This window comes from Homo sapiens, chromosome 6 (genome assembly GCF_000001405.40).
Source record: "Homo sapiens chromosome 6, GRCh38.p14 Primary Assembly".
NCBI lineage: Eukaryota > Metazoa > Chordata > Mammalia > Primates > Hominidae > Homo > Homo sapiens.
In genome coordinates, this window is record NC_000006.12 from 155,094,811 (window position 1) to 155,118,355 (window position 23,545).

The 23,545-nt window shown below is 42.1% G+C and overlaps 1 protein-coding gene across 3 annotated transcripts in view, besides 1 other annotated feature; it reads left to right on the forward strand.

Moving 5' to 3' along the window:
- The window catches only part of TIAM2 (TIAM Rac1 associated GEF 2), a 262,409-nt gene that overhangs the window by 99,496 nt on the left and 139,368 nt on the right, over positions 1-23,545 (forward strand). Inside the window, exon 1 of one of the 3 annotated variants that reach the window (NM_001384547.1) lies at positions 12,177-12,353. The exons of the other annotated variants lie outside the window; for them this stretch is intronic. The gene's annotated coding sequence lies outside the window, so the exon portion shown is untranslated. Of the gene's footprint in view, positions 1-12,176; positions 12,354-23,545 lie in introns of those variants that run through there. 3 annotated transcript variants of the gene reach the window in all.
- Positions 18,421-18,920: an enhancer, noted in NCBI's record as "H3K4me1 hESC enhancer chr6:155434365-155434864 (GRCh37/hg19 assembly coordinates)". NCBI's record gives its function as "activates a minimal SCP1, AML or CMV promoter by ChIP-STARR-seq in primed H9 embryonic stem cells {active_cell/tissue: H9 hESC(primed)}" and the evidence as "EXISTENCE:reporter gene assay evidence [ECO:0000049][PMID:30033119]".

The following is a 23,545-nucleotide window of genomic DNA, read 5'->3' on the forward strand; positions in this document are numbered from 1 at the left end:
GAGCTCAAGTGATCCGCCCGCGTCAGCCTCCCAAAGTGCTGGGATTACAGGCATGAGCCACCGTGCCTGGCTTCGCTCATATATTTAAATAGCTCTGAAGGTATCTGAGTGTGACCCCTAATCTGGACAGTTAAATTTTCCCTCTGTCTTCAGATGTGACTCATTTCCTCCCTCTTTTTCAGTTCTCCATGGTCATGGAGAAGGAGTTGCCTGGCAGCATATCTTTTTTGCCTTCCCTAACATCCACTGTGGCCTCCTGGCTTGGTGAAATGGGGACAGTGTGTAATTTGCACACGTCTGTGATCTATGGAACTAAGTTCCATTCTGCTTTTTCCAGTGGATCCCCAATCCTCCCTAGACTTCATGGCCCCAAACAGATGGAGCCTGTAACCTCGTTGACTCTGAGTGATATAACCGAGGGAGTGGGCTCAATGCCTATTAAGGCACAGATTGAAGTTTTAGGACTCTGTTCTTTGTGCATTTTGATGTTTAGTACGAACAGAATCTGGCTTTGTTTTGCTTTACAAGAGTGATTCTGGCTTCATTGTGAAGAACTTGGCTGGAGAGAGAGCAGGGAAGATCCGTGGTAATTAACTTCAGTTTTTTGTAGGGTGGTTGGGTGGAAGAGAGGAGTAGGATGTGTGTTGATAATGATGGAAAGACTGATTAGTGGAATTTTTAGAATGACTGATTTAAAGTTGCTGGAAGGAGTTCTCATCTATCAACTGGTTATTTACTGATGGAATGTGCCCCCTAACAGATCTGTGAACTTTCCGTCACTCAATGTATTTAGGTAAATGAGAGTGGCCCCATCTGTCAGGATGCTGTAGGAGATTCCTAAATTAGAGGGAAGGTTGGGCTAGATAGATGACCTCTCTGGTCTCTTTGGAACTCAAATTCAATTATTCTCTGAATTAAACTTATTAGGAATCTTCCAGCTTGAACAATTTTACTTCAGTCCATAAAGAGAAAATATTATGAGTTGACTGAGAGGCTGAATATAACATTATAACTTTAACTACAATTAGATCTGGGCAGATTACTTGCACTTTCTCCAATGTTCCAATATAACCTTCAAAAATGTTGTAAACAGATGTACCCAGTAGCTAGTATTTATAAGCCGGGATTTTACAAGCATATTTCCTGAAGGATTTTTTTTCTACCAAAAACTTTGTTTTACCTTAGCCAAAACTCATTGTGTAGGTTTCTTTTTGGGTAGCGTAATAATACAGATGTTATCATTTACATAAAAGTATTATCCGTTACTCTTTGTAAAGCATTTTATTTAATTTCAAAACTTAGGATTTTGTACATTATCATTCATTGCTGTTTGTTAAGGTGTATTTAATTTGGATATAATGACCTACAGAAAAAGGTCACTTTAAAGAAAAACTTTTTAAAAATGATTTTTAAATGATGCATAATCGATGTACATAGTTCTGGGGTATGAATGGTAATTCAGCACGTTCATATAATTTGTAAAGATCAAATCAGTGTAATTGGGATGCCCATTACCTTAAATATTTGTGTTTTCTTCATGTTAGAAACATTAGAACTATTCTTTTATAGCTTGTTTGGAACTTATAATACATTATTGTAAACTAGAGTCACTCTACTGATCTAACACTAGGTTTTATTTCTTCTATCAAACAGTATATTTGAACCCATTAATCAACCTGTCTTCATCCATTCCTTCCTACCCTTCCCAGCCTCTGGCAACCACCAATCTACTCTCTACTTTCATTAGACTTACTTTTTTTCTTTTTTTTATCTCCCACATGTAAGTGAGAACATGTGATATTTGTCTTTCTGTGCTTGGCTTATTTCACTTGATGACCTCCAGTTTCACCCACATTGCTGCAAATGACAGGATTTCATTCTTTTTATGGCTGAATAATAATCCATTATGTATATATACCACATTTTCTTGACCCATTCATCTCTTGATGGGTACTTAGGTTGATATATTTTGGCTTTTGTGAATAGTGCAGTAATAAACATGGGAGTGCAAATACCTCTTTGATATATTGGTTTTCTTTCTTTTGGATCTATACCCACTAGTGGGATTGCTGGATCACATGGTAGTTCTATTTTTAGTTTTTTGAGGAAACTCCAAACCGTTCTCCATAGTGATTGTACTAATTCGCATTCCTTCAAAGAGTGTACAAGGGTTTCCCTTTCTCTACATCCTCTCTAGCATCTGTCATTGCCTGTCATTTTTATAAAAGCCATTTTCACTGGGGTGAGATGATATCTCATTGTAGTTTTGATTTGCATTTCTCTGATGATTAGTGATGCTGAGCATTTTTTCATGTACCTGTTGGCCATTTGTATGTCTTCCTTTGAGAAATATCAGTTCAGATCTTTTGCCCATTTTTAATTGAATTATTTGTTTTTTGCTGTTGAGTAGTTTGAGCTCTTTATATATCATGGTTACTAATCCCTTGTAGATAGGTAGTTTGCAGATATTTTCTCCCATTTTGTGGGTTGTCTCTTTAGTTTGTTGATTGTTCCCTTTTCTGTGCAGAGCTTTTTATTTTTATTTTTTTGAAACAGGGTCTTCTTCTGTCACCCTGACTGGAGTGCATTGGTGCAATCACAGCTCACTGCAGCCTCAAACTCCTGGGCTCAAGCCATCCTCCCATTTCAGTCTCCTGAGTAGCTGGGAATACAGGCACTCACCATCATAGCTAGCCACTTTTTAAATTTTTTGTAGAGAGAGGTCCCGTTCTGTTGCCCAGGCTGGCCTCACACACCTGGCCTCAAGCGATCCTCCTGCCTTGGCCCCCCAAAGTGCTGGGATTACAGGTGTGAGCCACCATGCCTAGCCTGCAGGAGCTTTTTAGCTTGATGTAATTCCATGTATCGATTTCTGCTTTTATGCCTGTGCTTTTGAGGTCTTAGACAGAAAATCATTGCCCAGACCAATGTCCTGAAGCATTTCCCAAATGTTTTCTTCTGGCCGTTTCATATTTTCAGGTCTTAGATTTAAGTCTTTAATCCATTTTGACTTGATTTATTGTGTATAGTGAGAGATGGAGTCTAATTTTATTCTTCTGCCTATAGTTAACAGTTTTCCCAGCACCATTTATTGAAGAGACTGTCCTTTCCCCATTGTATATTCTTGGTGCCTTTGTCAAAGATGAGTTGGTTATAAATGTGTGAATTTTTATCTGGATTCTCTGTTCTGTTCTACTGGTGTATGTGTTTTTTTGTTTTTCTTTCTTTCTTAAGCCAGTACCATGCTCATTTGGTTGTTAGAGCTTTGCAGTCAATTTTGAAGTCAGGTATAGTTTGATGCCTCCAACTTTGTTCTTATTGATCTATACCTTTGGCTATTCAGGGTCTTTTGTGGTTTTACATAAAGTTTAGAACACCTTTTTTTTCCTATTTTTGTGAGGAATGTCATTGGTATTTTGATAGGGATTGCATTGAATCTGTAAATTGCTTTGCGTAGTATTGCCATTTTAACAATATTAATTCTTCCAAGCCGTGAGCATGGAATATCTTTCCATTTTCTAATGTGTCCTCTTTGGTTTATTTTATCAGTGTGTTACAGTTTTTATCGCATGGATCTTTTACTTCTTTGGTTAAATTGCTTCCTAGATATTTTACATTCATTGTAGCTATTGTAAATGGGATTGCCTACTTGATTTCATTTTCATATTGTTCGCTGTTGGCATATATAGATGCTACTGATTTTGTATGTTTATTTTGTATCCTGCAATTTTGCTGGATTCATTTATCAGTTCCAACAGTTTTTGGTGGAGTCTAGATTTTTCTAAATATAAAACCATGTCATGTGTGAACAAAGGCTACTTTGAACAAAAGGGTAATTTGACTTCTTCCTTTCCAATTTGGATGCTTTTTATTTCTTTCTCTCGCCTAATTGCCCTGGCCAGGATTTCCAGTACTATGTTGAATAAAAGTGGTAAAAATGGAAAAGAACAACTTTTATGAAGAATTAGTTTTAAATCCACATTTTTATGTCACAATATTTGCACTCTTGTGAAAGTAATTAATTGGTCATTTGATGATATTATTGGGGCTTGCTTGTTATGTAAGTAACACTTGGAGTTTATAAATGTACCATAAGGCCGGGTGCAGTGGCTCACGCCTGTAATCCCAGCACTTTGGGAGGCTGAGGCGGGCTGATCACCTCAGGTCAGGAGTTTGAGACCAGCCTGACCAACACGGAGAAACTCCATCTTTACTAAAAATACAAAATTAGTCGGGCGTGGTGGCACATGCCTGTAATCCTAGCTACTTGGGAGGCTGAGGCAGGAGGATTGCTTGAACCCGGGAGTCAGAGGTTGCGGTGAGCCAAGATTGCGCCACTGCACTCCAGCCTGGGCAACAAGAGCAAAACTCCATGTCTCTCTTTCTCTCATCTATATGTGTATATATATATGTGTGTGTGTGTGTGTGTGTGTGTGTGTGTGTGTGTGTGTAATAAAATATCTCATTTCCAAGATAATTGACTGCATTAAAATTTATTTGTGCATTTAATGCCTTTGAAACACTTAGAAAAAGTTTATATTAGGGAATTTAGATTTGCAATGGCTTTAAAGCAATACATACCATGCTAGTATTGCGTTTTGAATTTTCTCAAAATTGACTATTGATTTTGAAGACATCTTCAGTTTGCTTTTAAAAATGTTAAAAATTTATCTTGTTCTTCATTTTGTTTTCATTTAATCCGTAGCCATTGAGTAATTAATGATGGTGTGGTATAAGGCTCACAAACGTGATGCATAATAATTGTGGGAGAGGAAAATTACCAGAACTTTGAGGCCCAGTAACATTGCTTCATAACAGTGTTGTGAGGTGATAGCATTGAAGTTATTAACGCTATGGCTACCAGTGTTTTCTGTTCATTTGTTTGTTATATTTAGGATTTGTCTGGGTTTATCTGAATCAGTTAATATGCAGTATAGTCATGTATCACTTGACAATGGGGAAAGTTCTGAGAAAAGTGTAAGATGATTTCCTCATTGTGTGAACATCATAGAGTGTACTTACATGAACCTAGATGGTACAGCCTACTACACACCCAGGCTATATGGCATAGCCTATGCTCCTAGGCTGCAAACCTGTATGGCATGTGACTGTAGTGAATACTGTAGGCAGTTGTAACACAATGGGAAGTATTTGTGTATCTAAACATCTCTAAATAGAGAAAAGGTACAGTAAAAATATGGTATCATAATCACGTGGAACCACCGTATATGCAGTCTGTCGTCGGCTATTACACTGTGATGCTGCACATGACTGTATTAAGTTTTTTAACTGAGACTGGTGGGTTCTCTTCATCAGCATCTGTGAGATATGCTGTCTTTTGACTGCGTATGATCATTATGAGACAGGCAGAGCAGAAGTTTGGGTCGTCTGACTTTGTGGCTGTGAGACCTTGACTCACAGTAGCAGGTGCTGGCGCTTCTCCCACAGTGTGGAGCATAGAGCAGGAGGCAGGAGCAGGTGGCCAGCTGCCAGCACGGCGGCACTGCAGTGTTGCCTTGTTGAAGATGCCGGCTTGGAATATGAAATGCTAACGGAGAATGGTGGGGGATCTTTAAGCAGAAACTCTGTGAAAATTTTGCTTGATGGGCAGTGATCGCATGTGGAGTGGCTTATTTAAAATAAAAGGGATTGCTTGGCTTCTGACAACAGAGATGTAGAGTGCAACAAACACTGTTCTTCCTTTCACATTTACCACCACTGCCACCATCACTGTCACCTCCCATTCATTAATTCGTTCATTCATGCATGCAGTTACTTAACATGTATTTATTGGGTATTCACCATGTGCCAGGCGCTTCTTAAAGTCCTGGACTTTCAACAGTAAACAATTTAAACAAAATCCCTGCCTTCCTGCCTTGTGGAATTAACATTCTAAGAGGCAGACCTTATGTTAAACAATTTACATCTATTGTTTTACATGATCCTTACAATAGCTTGGGAGGCAGACAAAATTATCCCCATTTTACAGATTAAGAAACTGAGGGTTAGAGAAATTAAATGATGTGTCCAGTGTCACATACGAAACTGAGGCGCAGAGAAATTAAATGATGTGTCCAGTGTCATACAGTGGGATCTGATGTCACGCCAGAGGGACTCTAAATTGTGGGCCCCGAGTTGTTTTGCTAGCCTCTTAGGAGCAATGTCTGAGCGGCCAATGAATTGCACGTCAGTTGTACATTTGCGTGGGTTTTCAGCATCACACGTGGGAGGTAAACCTTCACACCACCCCTGTTTTAGATATGAAGGCCAGTCCTACCCGCCCTCACTGTATTCTCTGGGCAAATTTGGAAACCTTTGGTTTTAGAAACAGACTTCCTAAATTTGGGCCTTTTGATCAAATGGGGAGAAAAATCAGCTCCCCCGGTAATGTTTCTGAGGATCTCAGGATTCTCAGGCAGATACTTGGTGTGCCTCATTTTCTTCTAGTCTTGCCTTCATCTGGGACATTTTTGCTACCGCATTTCTCAAGGTCTGTGTTCCTTCAGCCTACGTTATTCAAAGTATTGCTTTTTCATCAGAAACAGTGTGGGGAAGCCCTCTTCAGCACATGAATATTGCCGAGGTTTTTTGCCCATTAATGTAATTACATCCAAGGTGCACATTTACGTTTGTGAGGGATTATTTAATCTTTTGTAATCCTGGTTGGGTAAAAGTAATTTATATTTTTAATCTCTACTTATGATTGTTATTCTTTTATTTTTACTTTTCTTCCTTGACTATAGCTAAGCAGTAAGGAGTGGTGCTTGGTCAGATGTTCTGTCAGAAGCATTCTGTGTTTGACCTGAGAAGTAAAGAATATGGAAGGAGTTTTTATTGTTTTCTTCTTTGAATTCTAAGCAGAGAGGTTATTTCTGATAGTTCACATTACTTTAGAACATTTATTTATTTATTTATTTAGAGACAGAGTCTTGCTCTGTTGCCCAGGCTGGAGTACAGTGGTGCAATCTCGGCTCACTGCAGCCTCTGCCTCTCGGGTTCTCCTGCCTCAGCCTCCCGAGTAGCTGAGACTACAGGTGGACACTGCCACGCCTGGCTATTTTTTGTATTTTTTTAGTAGAGATGCGGTTTCACCATGTTGGCTAGGATGGTCTTGATCTCCTGACCTCATGATCTGCCTGCCTTGGCCTCCCAAAGTGCTGGGATTACAGGCATGAGCAACCGTGCCGGCCTTTTTTTTTTGAGACACAGTCTCACTTTGTCGCCCAGGCTGGAGTAAGTGCAGTGGCACTATCTTAGCTCATTGCAACCTCTGCCATCTGGGTTCAAGTGATTCTTCCACCTCAGCCTCCCAAATAGCTAGGGCTACAGGTGCGTGCCACCATGCCTGGCTAATTTTGGGGCAGAAATGGGGTATCACTGTGTTGGCCAGGCTGGTCTTGGACTCCTGACCTCAAGTGGTCTGCCTGTCTTGGCCTCCCAAAGTGCTGGGATTACAGGTGTGAATCACTGCATCTGGCCTAGAACTTATATTTTTAATGTCAGTTTTTCTTATAATTATTTATAGATTAGAACATGTTATTTACATTTCTTATTTGTGATAGGCATTATGATTGTCAACCCCACTTTATGATGAAGGATATGGGATTCAGGAAGCCTCTAAGTTTTGAAGAGATGAATTGCTAGCCCAGATCTACTGGTTTTGAAGCCTGAGATGTTTCCACTATTCCCTTATTTTTATTAATAATAATTTGTCATGTGATAGTGGCTCTCAAACTTTTCATTCTGGGGGTGTTCCAATGCCCCATCTTATCATTTTATATTCTCCAGCTCTTCTCTGGATAGGAACAGAAACCCTCAAGAATATATCTTTGCATGCATGTGTGCACATGCAGTCTAGGATATTCAGGTTTTTTATTACAGTCAGGTTTGCAACAATTTTTGCATAGTTTTTGACTAGGTATTAGTAAAACATGGTGTTTTTTATGGATTAATTTATTGTGTGTGTGTGTGTGTGTGTGTGTGTGTGTGTGTGTGTGTGTATACATATATTTTCCTCCCAACATTTTATTAAGAAAATTTGCAAGAATATAGAAAAATCAAAAGAATTGTATAGTGAACACCCATAAACCCACCACTTGATTCTATAATTGTTAATAGCTTGCCATTTTTGCTTTTACATGGGTCATTTTACATTGTATCCTTCAAAATAGAATACTTCGTAAGTGGTAATTTACATTTTTCTCAGAGATCTTTGCCAAGGAATTTAATTTTAGATGCCTGTTAACACATATGTCCTGTTATATTATTATCTCAGAATAAAGCATTAGAAAGATCAAGTCTAGTTTTATGATTTGGAACTCTCTGGTTTTTGTAATTTTAGGATGGAGAACTAAATTGACAGTATACGACTGTAGTTGGGCAGTCTAAAGAACTTGAGAAACCTTACATAGTTTGAAACCCCAAGTGACTTTATAAATTCATAGAACTAAAGTCATTTGGGTGACCTCAGTAATAAAAAATGAAATCAGACAATGCAAAACCATCGGAAATATCTGAGGAATGTTGGAGATAATTCATGTGTACAGGAGGTTCTGGCAGAGAAGGGATCTACATATAAAATGTATCAAAAGGTCAGAATTGTTTTAAGAAAACCTAGAAGCAGGAATTAGTGGCCGGGCGCGGTAGCTCACGCCTGTAATCCTAGCACTTTGGGAGGCTGAGGCGGGTGGATCACCTGAGATCAGGAGTTCAAGACCAGCCTGGCCAACATGGTGAAACCCTGTCTCTTCTAAAAATACAAAAATTAGCCGGGTGTGGTGGTGCATGCCTGTGATCCCAGCTACTCGGGAGGCTGAGGCAGGAGAATCACTTGAACCCAGGAGGCGGAGGTTGCGGTGAGCCGAGATAGCACTATTGCACTCCAGCCTGGGCAACAGAGTGAGACTCTGTCTCAAAAAAAAAAAAAAAAAAAAAAGGAATTAGAGTAGGGGCATGCAAATATTTCCATGCAATTAATTGTTCTTCTGATCTTTTTTTTGCTCTCTGATACATATCTCTTTAAATTTCCTTCTCCTGCACAATTTTTCTTCCCTTTGTATCACAGAGTCCCTTTTCTGTCTTAATGTGGAAGGCTTTCATTTACACTGGCTGTTATTTTATTTTATTTTACCTATTTTAGTAACAGAAATGAGGCTGCTGGGTCTGAAGGAAGCAGAGCTCATGATTTAATAGCATTCATTCTTCTTCTGTATTTACCTCACACACACACACCCCCCCCCCCACACCCCCACACACCCCCACACACCAAATTAACATTTTGGGAATTCCCGTGTTTTGTGTTATGTGACTTGGCCTCCGTGGCAACCTCTGACTTCAGTCCCGGGGCTTGTGGTTACTTGGGTGGTACATCCTTGTGCTGCCGCCTGTTGCTGGCCAGCTCTGTGACCTTTTGCAAGTCACTTAAGGTCTCTGTTTCTTTATCTGTAATTCCAGAGGGTTGGACTAGGGAATTTTGCAGGTTTATCCCACCAGCACTAAAAATTCCCTGTTCTGTGTTCACATTAACATTTTTTCTCTCCTCCCTGCGCTTCTCCCCTGACCCCGCCCTGACTTAAATGTTTTGTGCTCAGGCTAATTTTTATAACTATTACACTGATGGTCTTCAATAATGGCTCTTATTATTGGCCAATTAAGATTAGAAAGCATGGCCGGCACGGTGGGTCACACCTGTCATCCCAGCACTTTGGGAGGCCAAGGTGGGCAGATCATGAGGTCAGGAGATCGAGACCATCCTGGCTAACACAGTGAAACCCCGTCTCTACTAAAAATACAAAAAATTAGCTGGGCGTGGTGGCGGGCGCTTGTAGTCCCAGCTACTAGGGAGGCTGAGGCAGGGGAATCGCTTGAACCCGGGAGGCGGAGGTTGCCGTGAGCCGAGATCGTGCCTCTGCACTCCAGCCTGGGCAACAGAGAGAGACTCTGTCTCAAAAAAAAAAAAAAATTATAAAGCATACCTTCAAGTGTATAATAACTTCATGTGGAAAAAGATTGTGTGTGTGCCTATATGGGTAGATGGATGTATGTGTATGTAAAATACAGTTTTCATCCAGATAAGGAATTAAAGGCTTATCTGTCTATGGTAGAGGCTGGTCTGTAATATTAGGTAAAAATCTTTCTGTTGGATATGTAGATCCTTTTTCTTTTGAGATAGGGTCTCAGTCTGTCACCCAGGCTGGAGTGCAGTGGTGCAGTCATGGCTCACTGCAGCCTTGACCTCCCCAGGCTCAATAGATCCTCCCACCTCAGCTCCCAAGTAACTGGGACTACTGGCATGCACTACCACACCTGGCTAATTTTTTGTATTTTTAGTAGAGATGGGGTTTCACCGTGTTAGCCAGGATGGTCTCAATCTCCTGTCTTGCTCTGTCTCCCAGGCTGTAGTGCAGTGGCACAGTCTTGGCTCACTGCAGCCTCTGCCTCCCGAGTTCTCCCACTTCAGCCTCATGAGTAGGTGAGACTATAGGTGCATGCCACCACGCCCAGCTAATTTTTGTATTTTTAGTAGAGACGAGGTTTCACTGTGTTGGCCAGGCTGATCTCAAACTCCTGGCTTCAAGTGATCTGCCCGCATTGGCCTCCCAGAGGCTGGAATTATGGCATGAGCCATCGCCCCTGGCCCTGGCTAATTTTTTTATTTTTACTTTTTGTAGAGATAGGGTCTCCCTATGTTGTCCAGGGTGGTCTTGAACTCCTGGGCTCAAGTGATCTGCCCACATCAGCCTCCCTTGTAGCTTGGACCACAGGTGTGCACTCCCAGGCTTGGCTAATTTTTTTTTTTTTCTGTTAGCTAATTGTTTAATTTTTTTCTGGTAGAGACAGTCTCCCTATGTTGCCCAGGCTGGTCTCCTAGGCTCAAGTGATCCTCCCACCTCAGCCTCCCAAAGTGTTGGAATCACAGGCATGAGCCACCGTGCCCAGCCTTTGTTATTTTTAAAATGATGAAGGTATTACCTTAAAAATCTCTTGCCACATGTTTGTCCGGGATAATTTGTGTATTCACATACTTAGAATATGTACATTTTGAAAACCTTTGATTAAGTGGTTTTCTTCTATAAAATATGAAGGTTTGTGATCCTGTTCTCCTATTCATCATCCCGCCTCCACAATAACATAAAAGATCTGAAAATGCTGCTTTATCTTTTGGGTATTTTTATTTATTTTATTTTATTTTATTTTATTTTATTTTATTTTTTTGAGAGAGAGTCTCTATGTATCCCAGGCTGGAGTGCAGTGGCGTGATCTCGGCTCACTGCAACCTCTGCCCCCTGGGTTCAGGCAATTCTCCTGTCTCAGCCTCCTGAGTAGCTGGGATTACAGGCGTGTATCACCACACCTGGCTAATTTTTGTAGTTTTAGTAGAGACAGGGTTTCACCATATTGGTCAGGCTGGTTCCGAACTCCTGACCTCAGGTGATCTACCCTCCTCGGCCTCCCAACGTGCTGGGATTATAGGCGTAAGTCACCATGCCCAGCCTTTTTGGGGTATTTTTAAAATGTAAGGTCTTTCATCAAAGGATATAGCAAGACCCCAAAACACTCTGAACCTCTGCTGTATATAACTTTTATTTAAGATAATTTAATGGTTCATTTTTAATAAAAAAGCACCACGTTGGGGTAACAAGGACTTCCAATGTACAAGACTGTAGTTCAGCCAACTTAAAAATGAAAGAACTCTAGCAAGGAACACAAGTAAGTTTATACCCGATATTTTGCAAATCATGATATTATTTTTAAGGGCCTCTCTTGAGGCAGGGTTTTTATGATCATAACATTCCAGCTGTGGTTTTGGAGGCAGAATGTTTACTACTGCTCTAAATGCAAGGATGGTAGGTGTGTATTCTTACTGCTAAAGGGCTTAAAAAAGAAGCTGAGGCTCCCTTCAAGTGAGTAAACCTTTATTCGGCTGACTTGGGAGCCGTGTTCCTATGGAACTTCGGTGGTAATTATGGAATGCAGGCCCAACAACAGCCCAGTCATGGGCGAGCCTGGCCTCTCCGAGGCATGATGGCAGGCTGTCCCGGCTAATGGCTTCAGGCAGCCCATGGAAAACCACTTTCTGGTTAAGTCTGCATCATACTGTTCCACCAATGGAAAAAATTGAACATGATGAGGGTGTGTAGCTAGCAGACAAAAATATATCCAGCATTGCACAGGATCTGTTTTTAGCTCTCAACGGCTGAGCATTTGAAGTGTTAGACACTGTTTCCTGGCTTACCATGAGCAGAAGGAAGAGTGAGTTTGTGGATGTGTATATAGACTCTAGCTTTGTGAAACTTTTCTTATTAACGAACAGACCCCGAGAAATACTGGCTACATCCAAAGTTCTGGCAAAGGTAAGGTTATAAATGTTTACTTCCCCTCTTCTGGAGTTGAGACGTAATTTTACATGTGAGATAAAAATGTTTCTCAAAATGCTCCCACCGGCAATATATAAGTGCTGACTTATTTTTGTCTGACATTATTTTGTACTTAGGCAGCACACGTTGCTGTGCATAAGGGAATTGTTGCCTTTAAATTGGAGTGTCTGTGTGCTTTCAAACACCTATTGGTGATTTATTGCAGTTGCCTGCGCCGTTTTACTAATTAACTCTCCAAAATTTGTACGTATTGTATGGATTTATTTTTCCTGATGGTCTCAAGAAAGTACCACTTCTCAGTGTGATCATGTTAAAGCATTGATGACTATTACTTTACCAGTTAATTTTTTCAGAGTAGAAAGGGAAATTAAGATGTGGCAGAGATTGTATTTTGCAGTTTTTGGGTTATTATATCATCTCATCAGGGCTTAATTTTTAGCTGAGTGGGCTATTTGGCTTAAGAGTTTCTTTTCAAACTTGTAATTTGACTTTCGCTGTTTAGTATCGTTTGTCTTTTTGTCTTAAACTTTATGAAAAAGAAATGGAATCCCTTGTAATCTTGGGAGGGGGGTACTTGTTTAAGAGGAGTGATTGATTCATATTCTAGTCCATTAGAGGCTGCTCATTCATTAGGGTATTTGAAACACCAGAAGCACAAGTACTGCTGAACGTCTGGTGTGTGCTCATCAGCAGGGGCCGAGGAGCCCTGGCTTTGGTGTAGTTCTTCCTTGGCTTTACATTAATTTGGCCAAGCATGTAATTCGCAGAAAATTGGTAGGTGGAGAGACAGAAATAGGGAGCTTTATTGAAGTCATTGTAACTTACAGGATTATTTATAGAATTTCTGGAAAGTAAGGGTACGGGTGAACAGCTGCTGGAGTTTTTCCTAACAGGTTTAAACATTTTGTTGTGGCCTTTTGTCACACTTAGGGATTCTAAAATTTTATACTTTCAGCATTATGAGGTTATGAATTATTTTCAGGCAGGCTACGTGGGTTCGTTTTCAGCTGTGCTGGGTCAGGGCTGTCATCTCCATCGGTGTATTGGGCATCCCCCATGTGTTCACTTCCTTTACAGACACGTCTTTAGGGATGGAGGAATGTGAGTGTGGTTCAGGCAGGTTACAGTTCATAGAAAGATTGGTCATATTTTATTGATGACTTTTCCTTTTCATCTAAAAAATGCGGCTCTGACAGAGCCAGCAAGCACTGAGAGCAGGAACAGTGCACTGACCGCCGCCTTCTCCGGTCACATTAACACTTGTCACCTACTTTGATTTTTGCCAGAGCTTGTGGACAGAAAGTGAAGTCCATTGAAGAACTTAATGACTCAAATTCATACTGACCAGACCGTAAATAGTGTTTTGAATGCAAATAGATAACACCTTTTTTCAATACTTTAGTGCAGAGGGAGTGACTTTCCAAAGCCCTCTCATTAGATCAGGCCTGCAGGAAGGATGCCTGGAAGTGCGAGATAAGCGTTAGGCTCCTTGTGAAGAGATTAGTTTTCCAGTGGGTAAGTGGGTCCTTCACTTACCCATTAAGTAAAACAGATGATTCTGTCTTGGTGGTCTGAGATTGTGTTTGAGCAGAGCCATGCTTTCTTTTGCAAAATTAGTTAAGGGTCTTTGCAGCTTCTTCCCACCAGAAGTATTGAATAAAAAACCACAAAGCGTAAATATCTGATGGGGCACTTTACTATATGTGTATGTGCCTCTAGGTTTGACTCACTTTGTAAGATTCCCTTATGTGATTATAATAAATCAGGTTAGTGAGATCCCTTAGTTCAACTTTTTCTTTTTTGTTTTTTGTTTTGAAACAGAGTCTCACTCTGTCGCCCAGGCTGGAGTGCAATGGCGCGATCTCAGCTCACTGCAAGCTCCGCCTCCTGGGTTCACACCATTCTCCTGCCTCAGCCTCCCGAGTAGCTGGGACTACAGGCGCCCACCACCACACCCGGCTAATTTTTTTGTATTTTTGGTAGAGATGGGGTTTCACCGTGTTAGCCAGGATGGTCTTGATCTCCTGACGTCATGATCCGCCCGCCTCGGCCTCCCAAAGTGCTGGGATTACAGGTGTGAGCCACTGCACCCGGCCTTCAGCTTTTAGATTTAGAAAAATACAGGCCGTGAAGAACAAGGTCTATTTGGACATTTTTTAAAGGAATAATTTGCATCTTTTTTGTTTTGAAATTAAGTGTGCCTTCTACATGAAGGTAATAACAGCTTTACTAGAAGGGCTAGAAAAAAGATAAAGGTATGGAATAGAAAGAAATAGCAGCAGTATTAAAAACAGTAAAAAGTAATAATAATGGTAGTAGATAAACCTGAATGTCTGACTGTTGAATTCTATTAACAGGGTGGAATGTCTTTTTATTACTCAGTTCTACTTAAAACAGGCTTACAAATATCAGGAGGCTTCAACATCAGTGTCTCAGGAAACATATTGAACACTCATTTTTCAGGTCTTTATAGTCCATAGTATTGTAGAGATAGAACGTTAGAGCTGAAAATGGACCTTAGGCAGTTTTTCAAAGGAGACAATTGAAGAACCACAGAACTGAAGCGACTTGTCCGAAGCCACAGAGATGGTTAGTTACCCAGCTGGAAGGAAATTCCAGGTATCCTGTTAGTCTTTTTCTTACTCTACCTGTTCCTTAATTGAGGAAACTTTGGCACATCCTGATGTATCTTAGATAATTGATAGAGACTTGTGTATGCATACACATGTGTGCAAATATATACAGACAAATGCACAGACTTTTTTTTTTTTTTTTTTTTTAAGACAGAGTCTCACTCTTTTACCCAGGCTGGAGTGCAGTGGTGTAATCTCGGCTCACTGCAACCTCCACCTCTGGGTTCAAGGGACTCTCCTGCCTCAGCCTCCCTAGTAGCTGGGATTACAGGCAACTGCCACTACGCCCGGCTAATTTTTTTTTGTATTTTTAGTAGAGACGGGGTTTCACCATGTTGGCCAGGCTGGTCTTGAACTCCTGATCTCAAGTGATCCGCCCGCCTTGAACTCCCAAAGTGTTAGGATTACAGGCATGAGCCACCACGTCCAGCCGACATGCACATACATTTCCTTTCCTCCCTTTGTCCATCCTTCCTTCTTCCTTTCCTCTTTCTTTTCTTTTTTTTTTTGTTGTTCTTTCTTTCATCTATTTACTTACCTGTTTACCAAACGTGTTTGGTAACCTGTGTGTTGGTTTGGTTTACCTGTCTGTTTAAAGCTCTAGTAGAGAAAAGGGCTTTTGCTTTTCCCATAGCCTAGTCAAATTCAAAGCTGTACATTCAATCTGTGACCATCAGCTCTCTGACTGTTGCCAGAGAGAATTTTAGGTGCACACATGTTACCCTAACCTATGTGATAAGACAGGTTTGATTAGACTTCATCTGTCAGTCTCTTCCTGGTTCAGTCTTAGATTGGTTTTCTTTGGTTTATAGTCACATTCCAATAGAAGACTGTTTAGGTTTTGTTACTTCTGTGCCTTACAAAAAAGAAGCCCTGGAAGGGAACAGAAACACAGCAGATGAGGCCTGGCTTTAGTGCCAAGGTGATGTAAGGCACTTTTGGAAAAGTAAAGTTTACACAAAAAGTGATAGGCCAAGTTATCATTTACACTTAAGGAAAGGGATGCAGTGGGCTCCACAGATAATGTCAGGATGAAGTTGATTCAGGGTGTTCCTAGGACTTGAATAAAGGTTCAAAAATCCTGGGTATTGTTCAAGCACTGGAAAGTGAGAATAATCCTTATCCTGCCTTTGTGCTTGACCCTGACCCATCTCTATAGTCGCAGAATTGCTAGAGTCGGATTTCTAAAATGGAGATGTGGGGAAGGGCTAAGGAGAGACAGAGTTTGCAAGCTTTTAAAGACAAAAGCTAGAATCCATATGATTAAAGGCAATGAGAAGAAACCAAGTGGAGAGAATAAAGACAGGCTCTTTTTCGAGTTACCCTTGGCCACCCCTGGAAGGTGGAAAAAGGCATCTTAAAGATAAATGAAAGGAAGCTTTATACACAGACACAGTAGTGAACCGAGGAAACTCATGACATTAGGAGGCACTGGAGAGTAAAGCGCTTCATGGAAAGTGTCCATATATTCTTGGAATACACACACACACACACACACACACACACACACACACACACTCTCCGTTGAAAATTGATAGGATGATCACAAATGTATCCAAACAGCCAGACAAGTTAACTATAAAACAACAACAATAACAAGCCCCCTGAAATAACAGGAAACTAACAATAACCATCACTTACCTTTTTAAGAAATGTCACAGTGGGAAAAAAATAGAAATTACAAGACAACACAGTGACATGCAGGTAATGAAGGAGTTTCTCACTGGAGCTCTTGTATCCTGACACCCTACTGCATGTATGTGATGTTGGTGCCTCTCAAACGTTTCTGAAGTTTCTGTGATAGGAGGGGCAGTTGCTCTAGAGCCACCTCCTCTTGTGCGTGCAATTCCTCTCCCTTTGACCCATTCTAGGACATTTTAGGAATGGCCCCTCTCTCTGCACCACATCACATTTTCCCTTTAATTCTCATTGCGTGCTGGAATTTTTCCTGAAGATACACACATAGACAATAAATGAAGCTCTTTTTGATCCCTCTGTCCTTCCCGCTAGCAACTGATTCCTCTCTGCTCCCCTTTATAGTAAAACTCTTTGAATGAGCTGTCCCTATTCACTCCCTTCAGTTTCACTGACCTTATCCTCAAACTCAATCCAGTCGGTCTTTCTCCACCCCATTCTGCCCTTGTCCTGTTCACAGGGACCTGCATAATGCCAGATCTACTAAATGCACTGCTTGTTCTAGGTTTTTGTTATTTGAATCAGAAACATTTGACATGGTTGCTCAGTCTTCTCCCTGAAGTGCTTTTCCCAATTGGCTTTAGGTGCCACATACTCTCTTGGTTTCCTCTTTTTTTTTTTTTTTTTTGAGATGGAGTCTTGCTCTGTTGCCCAGGCTGGACTGCAGTGATGCGATCTCGGCTCACTGCAACCTCCGCCTCCCAGGTTCAAGTGATTCTCCTGCCTCAGCCTCCCAAGCAGCTGGGATTACAGGCATGCGCCACCAAGCCCGGCTAATTTTTGTAATTTTTTTTAGTAGAGACGGGGTTTCGTTGGCCAGGCTGGTCTCGAACTCCTGACCTCAGGTGATCTGCCCGCCTCAGCCTCCCAAAGTGCTGGGATTACAGGTGTGAGCCACCACCGTGCCAGGTCTCTTGGTTCCTCTTAATTCAGTTCACCAACTGCCCCTTCTGTCTCCATTATGGGCTTCTCCTCATTTCCTTGACCCCTTAATGTCAAGGTGCCCCAGGGCCTCCTTGGACCCCATGTCTTTCCTTTGTTTACTTATGGAGAACCCATCCAGTTTGTGTTTTAAATACCATCTTTGTGTGGGTGAGCAGCCCACTTCTCTCCTGAACTCCAGACTGGTATTACCACTTAAGTATCCAGTGGACACCTCAAACCCAGCTTGTCCAAAACTGAACTCCTCATCTTGCCCGCGGAAGCCTGCTCTGCTCTGCCGTCTGCATTCTCCCATGGCTTTAATGGAACAGTGTGGAATCATCCTTGGTGTCACTCACACTTGCTTCCACCTGCCCTCGAGTCCTGCTGGCTCTCCCTTCGGCCCTCCAGAGCTTCAGCTGTGTCCGGAGGCAGCCTCCTCCCCTACCACCCCCCTCCCTTACCACCCCCACCCAAGCTGGGGCGCATTGCCTCTCCCCTGCATCGTTCCGGTAGCCTAGCAGGTCCCCCTGCTGCTTCCACTGTGTCGCTGACAATCCATATCCACACAGCAGCTACACAGATCCTTTTAAAATGTCCCATGATGAGCCTTCTCTATCACACCCTCTAATTATGACTTTTTTTCTCAAGGTGAAAGCCAAAGTCCTTAAACTGTCCCTCAAGGCTGCCTTCACTGGCTCTGTGGCCCCTCTCTGACCTCTCTTGCCCTTCTTCCCCTCGCTTGCTCTGCTGCGGCCATGCTGGTCCCTGCCTCTCCGGCACTTGCACTTTCTGTTGCCCCTGCCCACGGTGCCCTTTCCCTGAAATACACTTGGTGTCTCCTCCTTGCAAGTCTCTGCTGAAGTGTCACCATTCAGAGAGGCTTCCTCGCCTTTTAAAAATTGCAGCATCCTTCCCCTCTCCACGTTGCCTCCTCCCCCATTTCCTTCTTTACTATTTTGTCAAAGTGCTTATCACCTCCTAAAAGAAAATTTATTTTTCGGCCAGGCGTGGTGGCTCATGCCTATAATCTTAGCACTTTGGGAGGCTGAGGCCGGCAGATCACTTGAGGTCAGGAGTTCGAGACCAGCCTGGCCAACACTGTGAAACCCCATCTCTACTTAAAAAAATACAAAAATTAGCTGGGCGTTATGGTGGGCTCCTGTAGTGCCAGCTACTTGGGAGGCTGCGGCAGGAGAATCACATGAACCCAGGAGGTGGAGGTTGTAGTGAGCCGAGATCATGCCACTGCAAGCCAGCCTGGGCAACAAAGCAAGACTCCGTCTTAAAAAAATTTATTTTCGTTGTTTATTGTTCATCTCTCTCCACTTTAGTATAAGCTCCATGAGAGCAGGGATACTTCTTTGGATGGGGGTCTGTTTTGTTTATTGCTGTATCCCCAGGGCTTAGAACTGTCTAGCAAAGAGTTGTTATTCAGTGAACATTTATTGCCTTAATCAGTGAAAATGTATCCTCCCTGGGAAGCCTGATGATGTAGCAGAAGCAAACTAATGTAAATGCTAAATATCGTTGAACTCCTATACTTTATCTTAAAAATGTAAATTTTATACTTTACTTTATATATATATATATATATATATTTTTTTTTTTTTCTTTTTTTTTTTTTTTTTTTTTGAAATGGAGTCTTGCTGTGTCACCCAGGCTGGAGTGCAGTGGTGCCTTCTCAGCTCACTGCAACCTCTGCCTCTCAGGTTCAAGTGATTCTTGTGCCTCAGGCTCCTGAGTAGCTGGGATTACAGAGGCGTGCCACCACACCCAGCTAATATTTGTATTTTTTTGTAGAGATGGGGTTTCACTGTGTTGGCCAGGCTGGTCTCAAATTCCTAATCTCAAGTGATCCTCCTGCCTCAGCCTCCCAAAGTGTTGGGATTACAGGCGTGAGCCACCGTGCCCTGCCATGATACATATTTCTTTATTATGGACATAATATTTAAATTACTTAGCATTAAATGAAATCAGAGCTTCAGGAAGATGCCCCTTGGTTATTCTGTGGCCTTGAGTGTCTCCTCTGCTCTCCCTTTGTCTTGGTGGCCATGCCCCACCCCCACAGCCATTTGGAGGCATACTCTAAGTTATAATTATTATTGAAGACAATTACCATGAAGCTTAAAGTATCAAGAAAACAAAATTCTCATTTGCATAATGTTCTTTATAAGGCAGTAGACTGGGATAACTAAATTTTAACCATAAAGCTCCTTGGGTAACTTAGAAGTTTAGTTTTTCATTTTATTCTTACCTCTTCATCCCCAGCCACGGAAACCTTTGTTACCTGGAGAAAAAAAATACCCTTAGAGAAGGATGTTTAAGATGTTTGATTTGTGAAAGGGGCATGGATTGATCAGAACCACAACCACCCTTTATTTATTTAAATTTAATTTTAATTTTTTTGAGATGGAGTCTCGCTTTGTCACCCAGGCTGGAGTGCAGTGGCGTGATCTCATCTCACTACAACCTCCGCCTTCCAGGTTCACGCAATTCTCCTGTCTCAGCCTCCCAAGTAGCTGGGACTACAGGTGCCCGCCACCACTCCTGGCTAATTTTTGTATCTTTGGTAGAGATGGGGTTTCACCATGTTGGCCAGGCTGGTCTCAAACTCCTGACCTCAGGTGATCCACCTGCCTCGGACTCCCAAATTGCTGGGATTACAGGCGTGAGCCACTGGGCCTGGCCAAACCACTCTTTTGAAAGGGAATCCTGAAAGTTAAATTGTACTAAAAAAAAAAAAAAAAGGAATAATTTCAGATTAAGAAGTACAAAATAATTTAAAATTATTATTTTATTTTTTAAAGAGACAACATCTTACTGTATTGCCCAGGCTGGTCTCAAACTCCTGGGCTCAAGGGATCCTCCCATCTTGGCCTCCCAAAGTGCTCCGAATACAGGCATGAGCCACTGCATTAAAATGGCCTGGTGTGGTGGCTCACACTTATAATCCCAGCGCTTTGGGAGGCCAAGGCAGGAGGATTCAACTCCTTGAGCCCAGGAGTTGAAAATCAGCCTGGGCAACATAGTGAGACCCTGTCTTTACAAACAATAAAATAAAAAAATTAGCAGGCATGGTGGTGCAAGCCTATAGTCCCAGCTACTTGGGAGGCTGAGACAGGAGGCTCACTTGAGCCCTGGCATTTGAGGTTACAGTGAGCCGTGATCACACCACTGTACTCCAGCCTGCGTGATAGAGCAAGACCCTGGCAATAAGTTGATCAATCAATCGATGTTAAAAAATGATCGAAAATATCCAGGTTTGATTCCTACCTTTGCCTCATTATTCATCCCCTGGAGGCTGAAGTTATTTTCTGTAAAACAGGGATGATTATGCAACCTATGAGGATTCTTGTGCCTGGGGTATCCCGGCACACAGCAGCATTAAGAAAGGATTGGTCAGGCGTGGTGGCTCACGCCTGTAATCTATGGGAGGCCGAGGTGGGCGGCTCACCTGAGATCAGGAGTTTGAGACCAGCCTGGCCAACATGGTGAAACCCTATCTCTACTACAAATACAAAAATTAGCTGGATGTAACGGTGTGTGCCTGTAATCCCAGAGGCTAAGGCCTGAGACTTGCTTGAACCTGGCAGGCAGAGGTTGCAGTGAGCTGAGATCGCACCAGTGCACTCCAGCCTGGGTGACAGAGAGAGACTGCCATCTCAGAAAAAAAGAATGGATTAGGCCCTTCCCCCTCCATCCGTGTTTCATCTACTTTGGATATGAAAAAATGTTAAATTTCTATAAATTAGCAAATTTAAACTATACCAACTAGTATATATATGTTGTTTTTTTTCCTGAAAGTTTCTATAAAGTTGTTAGCTAAAATCTTATCAGGTTTGTTGTGAATACTCATATGAATTAAGGAAAATTTCAGCAATGATTGGTTAATTTACCTGCAGCCCTCAGGGAGAATCTACATTGTAGCCTGAAGACATACATTTCTAAAAATGACTCTCAAACAAGGCAAAAACCCTTGTTGAAGTAGAATAGTTACACATTTTATGAAGGTGGGGAAAGCACCCATTTAGATGAGGGGAAAAAAATATGTGGTTTAAGCCCCGTTCATTTTTTAACTTAAATGAAACAGTGCATAATGAAGAAATGTTTTGCCAAGAATAACTTGGTACAATGACCGTGGTAGATTTTGGTTACAGAATGTGATTGGGGTTTAGGAGGACGGTATCTGCTTCTGATGTACTGAAGCTCGGGCCTTTTACATCCATGCAGGTTTCCATAGTCAGCAAGAAGCTGTGTGGTTGCAGTCTGAGATTCCAGCGCATGATGCTGTTTAAGTTTTGATGTAAACCTTGGGAAGTGCTTACCCAGGCCTAAGCTTGCTCTTTGTGGAGTGGCTCAAGCTCAGAAAGGTTAAAAACGGAGGTTATTTAAAAGTCACACTCACAATTTTGAATCCCATGTTTATAAAAGTTATAAAAGAGGGCCATTTAAAAGACATGCTAACAGCTTTAGGTCTTTTGAATCTTTGTTCTGGTAGTCACCAGAACAGGACCACGAAGTTTATAGAGGCCAGGATGTTGGACAAGTTTTAGCTGAGACTTGAAGTAGACGGGGGAGAAAGGGCAGAGTGGGACTGAACATTTGATATATTTAAAAAAAAAAAATACATGTTTCAAAGAGCCGTGGTGAGAATGTGTAAAATGCCTTTGAATAATTTCTAAAAGAAAAATAAGGAAAATATTTCGTCTTATCCAGGATTATTTTAGACAATATTGATTCTGTAATTTAAAAAATTAAAAAACAAAATTTTTATTGGGCAGCCCCTGAGCCAGAATAGGTTCAGAGAAGCTCCTTGATTTTGTAATTTTGCTTGAAAGTGTGTGTGTGTTTAAATTCCCTGAAATATTTTCAGTTTCTGCAATGGCTCACATATAGCCGGGCCACTGAATTTACTTGACATTCCAAAAACATACCAGTAATATTTGTGGGATTGCCGGTTTCACCATCTCTCTCATAAACTTGATGCTGTTAAAGTTGTCATATTCTCTCTCTTCCCCCTGTAGACGGAGTCATGCTTTGTCGCCCAGGCTGGAATGCAGTGGCGCCATCTCGGCTCGCTGCAACCTCCGCCTCCTGGGCTCAAGCAATTCTCCTGTCTCAGCCTCCCGAGTAGCTGGAACTACAGTCGTGTGCCACCACGCCTGACTAATTTTTGTATTTATAGTAAAGGCGGGGTTTCACCATGTTGATCGGGCTGGTCTCGAACTCCTGACCTCAGGTGATCCACCCACCTCGGCCTTCCAAAGTGCTGGGATTACAGGCACGAGCCACTGTGCCTGGCCTTTCATATTCTCTCTTACTGATTCTCCACATGTTTCATGGTTTATAATCTCTCTCCCTCCAGGCACAAGCTGATGAGCTCCTTTGGGAAGGGATGGTGTCATCTCTCACACTTCTGTCCCTCATGGTGTCCAGCACAGTGCTCCGTGTATAGGAGAGTCTCCAAACATTCATGTCGAATTGTTGAGTGGAACTTTAAAATTTCACTTCATTTCCCCAAGTTTCTGCCAATACTTTGAACATTTTCTTCCTGGGCCAACACTGCCTCCCACACTGACGCTGAGCTGTTGGCTACTGTGGACTCCTTTCCCAGAGGGTGTTCCAAAGTGTCCTGAGGTTGATGGTCGTGCCGTGGTGTTTCTGGGAACAGTGGGTAGGGGAGGGTGTAAGGGGATGGGCAGGGGCCTGTCCAAGATTCCCTTAGCTTCCCCTCCCTCAGCCTGCCTTTTCCCTCTTACCTCCTCCTCTCTCCAAACTTTGTCCCTGACCCTGGTGCTTGGGACCTGCACCCCCTTCACACCTTTCCCTGAAGGAGCTGGGGTCTTTCTCCATGTATTCTCTTGTGGATTCGGTCCTTCAGGGATCCAGCAAGTGGTTATGGAGCACCGTGTCTTT